General features: G+C 37.3%; 1 annotated feature.

The window, feature by feature from the left end:
• Positions 8,976–9,550: an enhancer, noted in NCBI's record as "NANOG hESC enhancer chr8:82108601-82109175 (GRCh37/hg19 assembly coordinates)". NCBI's record gives its function as "activates a minimal SCP1, AML or CMV promoter by ChIP-STARR-seq in primed H9 embryonic stem cells {active_cell/tissue: H9 hESC(primed)}" and the evidence as "EXISTENCE:reporter gene assay evidence [ECO:0000049][PMID:30033119]".

Below are 10,093 nucleotides of genomic sequence, written 5' to 3'. Positions count from 1 at the left end.
TTGAAGAATAGTACCTGGTAACAGATATTACCAGATTGCTTCATATTTATGCCAGAAGTGTATGAGAATACTGTTTCACCGAACTCTGTACATGCACTGGATGTTATCACCTTAAACATTTTACTAATATAATGGATAAGAATTAGTATTTCATAGTTAAAATGGATTGTCTTTACACATATGTATTGTTCAAATCACTTGGATTTTGGGTTTCTTTTTGTATGAATTGTCCATGTATAACTTTTACCTATTTATATAAATTGGTTATGTTTTTTCTTTTACATGCATATAAGCCCTTTGCTTATAATAGATATTATTAATTCCTTTATCAATGTTTTTTGCAAATATTTCTTAAAAATATTCTTTAAAAATTTTTTGTAGAAGATAGCCAAATAGGAACAGCTCCAGTCTACAGCTCCCAGCGTGAGCGATGCAGAAGACAGGTGATTTCTGCATTTCCAACTGAGGTACTGGGTTCATCTCACTGGAGCTTGTTGGACAGTGGGTGCAGCCCACAGAGCAGCACAGGGCATCGCCTCACACAGGAAGCGCAAGGGGTCGAGGAATTCCCTTTCCTGGCAAAGAGAAGACATGACAGACAGTACCTGGAAAATCGGGTCACTCCCATCCTAATACTGCACTTTTCCAATGGCCTTAGCAAATGGCACACCAGGAGATTATATCCCGTGCCTGGCTCTGAGGGTCCCACTCCCATGGAGCCTCGCTCACTGCTAGCACAGCAGTCTGAAATTGAACTGCAAGGTGGCAGCAAGGCTGGGAGAGGGGCATCCACCATTGCTGAGGCTTGAGTAGGTAAACAAAGTGGATGGGAAGCTTGAACTGGGTGGAGCCCAATGCAGCTCAATGAGGCCTGCCTGCTTCTGTAGACTCCACCTCTGGGGGCAGAGCATAGCTGAACAAAAGGCAGCAGAAACTTCTGCAGACTTAAACGTCCCTGTCTGACGGCTGTGAAGAGAGTAGTGCTTCTCCCAGCACAGAGTTCAAGATCTGAGAACGGACAGACTGCCTCCTCAAGTGGGTCCCTGACCACCAAGTAGCCTAACTGGGAGACACCTTCCAGTAGGGGCCGACTGACACCTCACACAGCCAGGTACCCCTCTGAGATGAAGCTTTCAGAAGAAGGATCAGACAGCAACATTTGCCGTTCTGCAATATTTGCTGTTCTGCAGCCTCCGCTGGTGATACCCAGGCAAACAGGTATCGAGTGGATCTCCAGCAAACTCCAACAGACCTGCAGCTGAGGGTCCTGACTGTTAGAAGGAAAACTAACAAACAGAAAGGACATCCACACCAAAACCCCATCTGTACATCACCATCATCAAAGACCAAAGGTAGATAAAACCACAAAGATGGGGAGAAACCAGAGAAGAAAAGCTGAAAATTCTAAAATCAGAGCACCTCTTCTCCTTCAAAGGAACACAGCTCCTCGCCAACAATGGAACAAAGCTGGACAGAGAATGACTTTGAGGAGTTGAGAGAAGAAGGCTTCAGACGATTGGTAATAACAAATTTCTCCAAGCTAAAGGAAGATGTTCGAACCCATCGCAAAGAAGCTAAAAACCTTGGAAAAAGACTAGACGAATGGCTAACTAGAATAAACAGTGTAGAGAAATCCTTAAATGACCTGTTGGAGCTGAAAACCATGGCACAAGAACTATGTGACGCATGCACAAGCTTCAGTAGCCGATTTAATCAAGTGGAAGAAAGGGTATCAGTGATCGAAGATCAGATGAATGAAATGAAGCAAGAAGAGAAGTTTAGAGGAAAAAAGAGTAAAAAGAAATGAACAAAGCCTCGAAGAAATATGGCACTATATGAAAAGACCAAATCTATGTATGATTGGTGTACCTGAAAGTGACAGGGAGAATGGAACCAAGCTGGAAAACATTCTGCAGGATATTATCCAGGAGAACTTCCCCAATCTAGCAAGGCAGGCCAACATTCAAATTCAGGAAATACAGAGAATGCCACAAAGATACTCCTCGAGAAGAGCAACTCCAAGACACATAATTGTCAGATCCACCAAAGTTGAAATGAAGGAAAAAATGTTAAGGGCAGCCAGAGAGAAAGGTTGGGTTACCCACAAAGGGAAGCCTATCAGACTAACAGCTGATCTCTCAGCAGAAACTCTACAAGCCAGAAGAGAGTGGGGGCCAATATTCAACATTCTTAAAGAAAAGTATTTTCAACCCAGAATTTCATATCCAGCCAAACTAAGCTTCAAAAGTGAAGGAGAAATAAAATCCTTTACAGACAAGCAAATGCTAAGAGATTTTGTCACCACAAGGCCTGCCTTACAAGAGCTCAGGAGGGAAGCACTAAACATGGAAAGGAACAACCAATACCAGCCACTGCAAAAACATGCCAAATTGTAAAGACCATCAATGCTAGGAAGAAACTGCATCAAGTAACGAGCAAAATAACCAGCTAACATCATAATGACAGGATCAAATTCACACATAACCATATTAACCTTAAATGTAAATAGGCTAAATTCTCCTATTAAAAGACACAGACTGGCAAATTGGATAAAGAGTCAAGACCCATCAGTGTGCTGTATTCAGGAGACCCATCTCACGTGCAGAGACACACATATGCTCAAAATAAAGGGATGGAGGAAGATCTACCAAGCAAATGGAAAACAAAAAAAAGCAGGGGTTGCAATCCTAGTCTCTGATAAAACAGATTTTAAACCAGCAAAGATCAAAAGAGACAAAGAAGGCCATTACATAATGGTAAAGGGATCAATTCAACAAGAAGAGCTAACTATCCTAAACATATATGCACCCAATACAGGAGCACCCAGATTCATAAAGCAAGTCCTTAGAGACCTAGAAAGAGACTTAGACTCCCACACAATAATAATGGGAGATTTAACACCCCACTATCAACATTAGACAGATCAATGAGACAGAAAGTTAACAAGGATATCCAGGAATTGAAGTCAGCTCTGCACCAAGCAGACCTAATAGACATCTACAGAACTCTCCACCCCAAATCAACAGAATATATATTCTTCTCAGCACCACATCACACTGATTCCACAACTGACCACATAGTTGGAAGTAAAGCACTCCTCAGCAAATGTAAAAGAACAGAAATTTTAACAAACTGTCTCTCAGACCACAGTGCAATCAAACTAGAACTCAGGATTAAGAAACTCATTCAAAACCACTCAACTACATGGAAACTGAACAACCTGCTCCTGAATGACTACGGGGTACATAACGAAATAAAGACAGAGATAAAGATGTTCTTTGAAACCAATGAGAACAAAGACACAACATACCAGAATCTCTGGGACACATTTAAAGCAGTGTGTAGAGGGAAATTTATAGCACTAAATGCCCGCAAAAGAAAGCAGGAAAGATCGAAAATTGACACCCTAACATCACAATTAAAAGATCTAGAGAAGCAAGAGCAAACACTTTCAAAAGCTAGCAGAAGGCAAGAAATAACTAAGATCAGAGCAGAACTGAAGGAAATAGAGACACAAAAAACCCTTCAAAAAATCAATGAATCCAGGAGCTGGTCTTTTGAAAATATCAACAAAATTGATAGACCACTAATAAGACTAATAAAGAAGGAAAAAGAGAAGAATCAAATAGACACAATAAAAAATGGTAAAGGGGATATCACCACCAATCCCACAGAAATGCAAACTACCATCAGAGAATACTATTAACACCTCTACCCAAATAAACTAGAAAATCTAGAAGACATGGATAAATTCCTGGACACATACACCCTCCCAAGACTAAATCAGGAAGATGTTGAATCCCTGAATAGACCAATAACAGGCTCTGAAATTGAGGCAATAATTAATAGCCTACCAACCAAAAAACATCCAGGACCAGACGGATTCACAGCTGAATTCTAGCAAGGTACAAGAGGAGCTGGTACCATTCCTTCTGAAACTATTCCAATCAATAGAAAAAGACGGAATCTGATGGGTGCAGCACACCAACATGGCACATGTATACATATGTAACAAACCTGCACGTTGTGCACATGTACCCTAAAACTTAAAGTATAATAATAAAAAAAAAAGAAAAAGAGGGAATCCTCCCTAATTCATTTTATGAGGCCAACATCATCATGATACCAAAACCTGGCAGACACACAACAAAAAAAGAATTTTAGACCAATATCCCTGATGAACATCGATGCAAAAATCCTCAATAAAATACTGGAAAACCGAATCCAGCAGCACATCAAAAAGCTTATCCACCACGATCAAGTTGGCTTCATTTCTGGGATGCAAGGCTGGTTCAACATACACAAATCAATAAAAATAATCCATCATATAAACAGAACCAAAGAAAAAAACCACATGATTATCTCAATAGATGCAGAAAAGGCCTTTCACAAAATTCAACAGCCCTTCATGCTAAAGACTCTCAATAAACTAGGTATAGATGGGACATATCTCAAAATAAGAAGAGCTATTTATGAGAAAACCACAGCCAATATTATACTGAGAATGGGCAGAAACTGGAGGCATTCCCTTTGAAAACTGGCACAAGACAGGGATGCCTTCTCTCACCACTCCTATTCAACACAGTGTTAGAAGTTCTGGCCAGGACAATCAGGCAAGAGAAAGAAATAAAGGGTATTCGATTAAGAAAAGAGGAAGTCAAATTTTCCCTGTTTGCAGATGACATGATTGTATATTTAGAAAACCCCATCGTCTCAGCCCAAAATCTCCTTAAGCTGATAAGCAACTTCAGCAAAGTCTCAGGATACAAAATCAATGTGCAAAAATCACATGCATTCCTATACACCAATAACAGACATGTTTGTCTATAGGTGTATGAGAGCCAAATCATGAGTGAACTCCCATTCACAATTGCTTCAAAGAGAATAAAATACCTAGGAATCCAACTTACAAGGGATTTGAGGGACCTCTTCAAGGAGAACTACAAACCACTATTCAATGAAATAAAAGAGGGCACAAACAAATGGAAGAACATTCCATGCTCATAGACAGGAAGAATCAATATTGTGAAAATGGCCATACTGCCCAAGGTAATTTATAGATTCAATGCCATTCCCATCAAGCTACCAATGACTTTCTTCACAGAATTGGAAAAAAAGTACTTTAAAGTTCATATGGAACCAAAAAAGAGCCCGCATTGCCAAGACAATCCTAAGCAAAAAGAACAAAGCTGGAGGCATCAAGCTACCTGACTTCAAACTATACTACAAGGCTACAGTAACCATAACAGCATGGTACTGGCACCAAAACAGAGATATGGATCAATGGAACAGAATGGAAACCCCGGAAATAATACCACACATCTACAACCATCTGATCTTTGACAAACCTGACAAAAACAAGAAATGGGGAAAGGATTCCCTATTTAATAAATGGTGCTGGGAAAACTGGCTAGCCATATGTAGAAAGCTGAAACTGGATCCCTTCCTTACACCTTTTACAAAAATTAATTCAAGATGGATTAAAGACTTAAATGTTAGACCTAAAACCATAAAAACCCTAGAAGAAAACCTAGGCAATACCATTCAGGACATAGGCATGGGCAAGGACTTCTTGACTAAAACACCAAAAGCAATTGCAACAAAAGCCAAAATTGACAAATGGGATCTAATTAAACTAAAGAGCTTTTGCACAGCAAAAGAAACTACCATCACAGTGAACAGGCAGCCTACAGAATGGGAAAAAAAATTTTGCAATCTACTCATCTGACAAAGGGCTAATATCCACAAAGAACTCAAAGAAATTTACAAGAAAAAAACAAACAACCCCATCAAAAAGTGGGCAAAGGATATGAACAGACACTTCTCAAAAGAAGACATTTATGCAGCCAACAGACACATGAAAAAATGCTCATCATCACTGGCCATCAGACAAATGCAAATCAAAACCACAACAAGGTACCATCTCACACCAGTTAGAATGGCGATCATTTAAAAGTCAGGAAACAACAGGTGCTGGAGAGGATGTGGAGAAATAGGAATGCTTTTACACTATGGATGGGACTGTAAACTAGTTCAACCATTGTGGAAGAGTGTGGCGATTCCTCAAGGATCTAGAACTACAAATACCATTAGACCCAGCCATCCCATTACTGGGTATATACCCAAAGGATTTTAAATCATGCTGCTATAAAGACACATACACATGTATGTTTATTGTGGCACTATTCACAATAGCAAAGACTTAGAACCAACCCAAATGTCCATCAATGATAGACTAGATTAAGAAAATGTGGCACATATACAGCATGGAATACTATGCATCCATAAAAAAGGATGAGTTCATGTCCTTTGTAGGGACATGGATGAAGCTGGAAACCATCATTCTCAGCAAACTATCACAAGGACAGAAAACCATATGTCCTCAGTGTATGTTCTCACTCATAGGTGGGAATTGAACAATGAGAACACTTGGACACAGGGTGGGGAGCATCACACACTGGGGCCTGTCATGGGTTTGGGGGAGGGGGGAGGGACAGCATTAGGAGATATACCTAATGTAAATGACGAGTTAATGGGTGCAGCACACCAACATGACACATGTATACATATGTAACAAACCTGCATGTTGTGCACATGTACCCTAGAACTTAAAGTATAATAAAAATAAAAAATAAAAATAAAAAAATTAAAATAAAATTTTGTGTAGTAAAAATATTTTATTCTTTCTTTATAGTTTTATTAGACTTCCTATCTTATTTAAATGACCTCTCCTAATTTTCCCAAAATTTTGATTGTTGTATTTTAAATGTTTAACTCCTACAGAATTTATTCTTCCTAATACATCTAAGAATTCTCTATATTTCAATTGGATTAGCATGAAATATATACCAAATATTTGTTGTAATTGACAGTCTATAAAATTTTGAGCCTTCTCATCTAAAATTAAGCATATTTTCATTTATTCAATGTTTTATGTGTTTAAGGAGAGAAATATATAGTTTTATTGATATAAGCTCTTCTTTCTGGGTAGATTTTTACCAAGATCATTTCTAATTTTGTTTGTATAATAATTGAGATTTTTTTCCATTTTGTTGTCCAACTTAAAATCACAGGTAAATAGAAAAATGGATGACTTGGCATATTTATTTTATAGTCAATTACCTTAATGAACTCTTTTACTATATCTAATAATTTTCTGTTATTGGTTTCTTGGGTTATCAAGGTCAACAGCCATAGTCTTATAAAATGACAATCTTGCCTTCTTGGATTTCATAATTGTATTCCTTACTTATTTTTCTTGCCTTATTACATTGGCAAACTTATTAAAACGCAAATAATGAGGGCCATCATTGTTTTGTTATTTACTTTACTAGCAATGATCATTGTTTAGGCATTAAGCAACCTCCATTAAGAATTAGGTTGGCTATTGCTTGAGCACAGCCAGATAAAGAGTTATAGAGGCTTTAAGTATGTAAAATTATGATGCTGCCATCCAAGATGCAATCCCAAACAGAAACAGTAATACATTGTAAAATACTGTCAAGAAATTCAACAATTCTGTTTTCACAAGATAACTTTCAGTGAGTATTTTGCAAATACCAAGTATCAAATTCTTTTGTTTTTTACTTACATATTTAGTTGGTGTATTAGAAAATCCTGCACGAACTTGAGACAATATTCTTTGCCATGTTAAGAAAGAATCCTTCTGTTTTAAAATAACTAAATGCTTCTGGTCAGAAATTGATGTTGAATCTTTTCAAATGCCACTCCAGCATCTATCAAGTTTATCCTTTTTGTCTCTGATTATTGAGTTAATGAATTATGTTAGTATATTTCACCAATGCTTCTATAAGCATTATTGCTTCCTCAACAAACAATGTATAAGCATTTAAATGGAATAAATATTTAAATCAATATAAATTAAAAATATATCTTTATATATGTTCACTTAAAAGATTCTGTAACTTATTTAGAAATTTTAAATCTATATTGCTAAAATAAATGACTTTGTTGGTTTATTGAGGGCCTTATTTTCTGCAATCCTGTTTTAGTTTTGGTACAAATATTACAGGAGATATTTAAAATGAACTAATAAGCTTTTCATTATGTTCTCTTTTATTGAAACATTTATTTAATAAGTGAATTATCATTGATTTTCTAAAATAACTAATTATATAATTTATGACCTTTCATTAAAGGTGAATTTTTTTCTAATTCTATTGCAATAGTAATCTTCTTGACTTTTTATGTTCTTTTTAAGTCAATTTAAGCAGTTTATAATTTACTCAAAAAACATCTGTTTCATTGATATTTCTGTTGCATTATTATCAAATACTTTTATTATTTTTCTATATTAGGGCTAAATAAACAGTAGCCTTATTTTAGTTTTAGGAAGCCATATTATAAATGTATTAATTTGAACAATTGGTGGCTTAAATTTATTAACTTTTATTTTTATTTTTCAATGCTTCTTAACTCTTCCCAGGTGTTCTTGAACACTCTTCCCAGGTGTTCTTAAGTGTGCAACTTAAGAAGCATCTTTAGAAACTTAAGATGCTTCTTAAGTTTCTAAACCATTTGGAAGAGCATCGCTCTGAGATGTTTATATAGATAACATGAAAAAAATTTCTCTGATTAAATAGTTTGGGAAACACTGAATATCATATTCCCTCTTACAGCTTCACAATGCTCATTATAATGTTACAGATATTGAGGAGTTCTCAATATCTTAGCTTTTTTAACACAGCATTTTCAAATAATTTTTACCCCAGGAACACTTTCTATGGCATAACATTAACATTTCGTGGCATGGAGTCATACAGGACACCAGTTTTGGAAATTCTGGCCTCAAGTCATTTGTATTCTTTTTTGTTTGTTTATTAATGATTTCAATGAAAAGAGTCAAACTCTGTAAAGTATTTGAAGAGATTAATTCTGAGACAAATATGAGTGACCCCGGCCTGTGACACAGCCCTCAGGAGGTCCTGAGAACATGTGCCCAAGGTGGTTGGGGTGCAGCTTTGTTATACACATTTTAGGCAGGCATGAGATGTCAATCAATTACATTTAAGAAATACATTGGTTTGGTCCAGAAAGGTGGGACCATTCCAAGTGGGGGGGTGGGGAGATTCCAGGCTATAGGTAAATATAAGCATTTTCTGGTTGACAATTGGTTGTCTTTGTCTAAAGACTTGGGATCCACAGAAAGGAAATGTCTGGGTTAAGATAAGAGATTGTGAAGAACAAAGTTTTATCATGCAGATGAAGCCTCCAGGTAGCAGGCTTCAGAGAGAATAGGTTGTAAAATGTTTCTTATCGGACTTAAAAGTCTGTGTTGTTGTTAAGTTAAATTAATGCCGGAAAGATAAAATGAGGCATGTTCGACCCCCACTTCCCATCATGGCCTAAAACAGTCTCTCAGATTAAATTTTAAGAGCCCTGGCTGAGGAGGAAGAGCATTCAATTGTTGTGTTACAGGAAAGAGGTCCCCATCCAGACCTCAAGAGACAGTTCTTGGATCTCACACAAGAAAGAATTCGGGCGAGTCCACAGTGAAATCAAGTTTATTAAGAAAGTAAAGGAATAAAAGAATGGCTACTCCATAGACAGAGCAGCTCCAAGGGCTGCTGGTTGCCCATTTTTATGGTTATTTCTTGATGACATGCTAAACAAGGGGTAGATTATTCATGCCTCCCCTTTTTAGAGCACATAGGGTAACTTCCTGACATTGCCATCGTATTTGTAAACTGTCATGGCACCGGTGGGAGCGTAGCAGTGAGGATGACCAGAGGTCACTCTCGTCACCATTTTGTTTTTGGTGGGTTTTGACTGGTTCCCTTATTGCAACCTGTTTTATAAGCAAGGTCTTTATGACCTGTATTTTGTGCTGACCTCCTATCTCATCCTGTGACTTAGGATGCCAGAACCGTCTGGGAATGCAGCCCAGTAGGTTCCAGCCTCATTTTCAATATGGAGTTGTTTTGGTTCACATGCTTCTGACAGTTGCAGGGGCCTCAGAATATTATTCTTGGTTTACAATCAAGGCATTTAATGATATGAATTTGTATCTGTGTACTTCTATGACCGCAGCTCATATGTTTTAATATGTAATGCTTTCCATTGTCAGCTTATT

Source organism: Homo sapiens, chromosome 8, assembly GCF_000001405.40.
Source record: "Homo sapiens chromosome 8, GRCh38.p14 Primary Assembly".
NCBI lineage: Eukaryota > Metazoa > Chordata > Mammalia > Primates > Hominidae > Homo > Homo sapiens.
The sequence above is the reverse complement of the archived record's forward strand: the minus strand, read 5'-3'. Positions and strand labels throughout refer to the sequence as shown.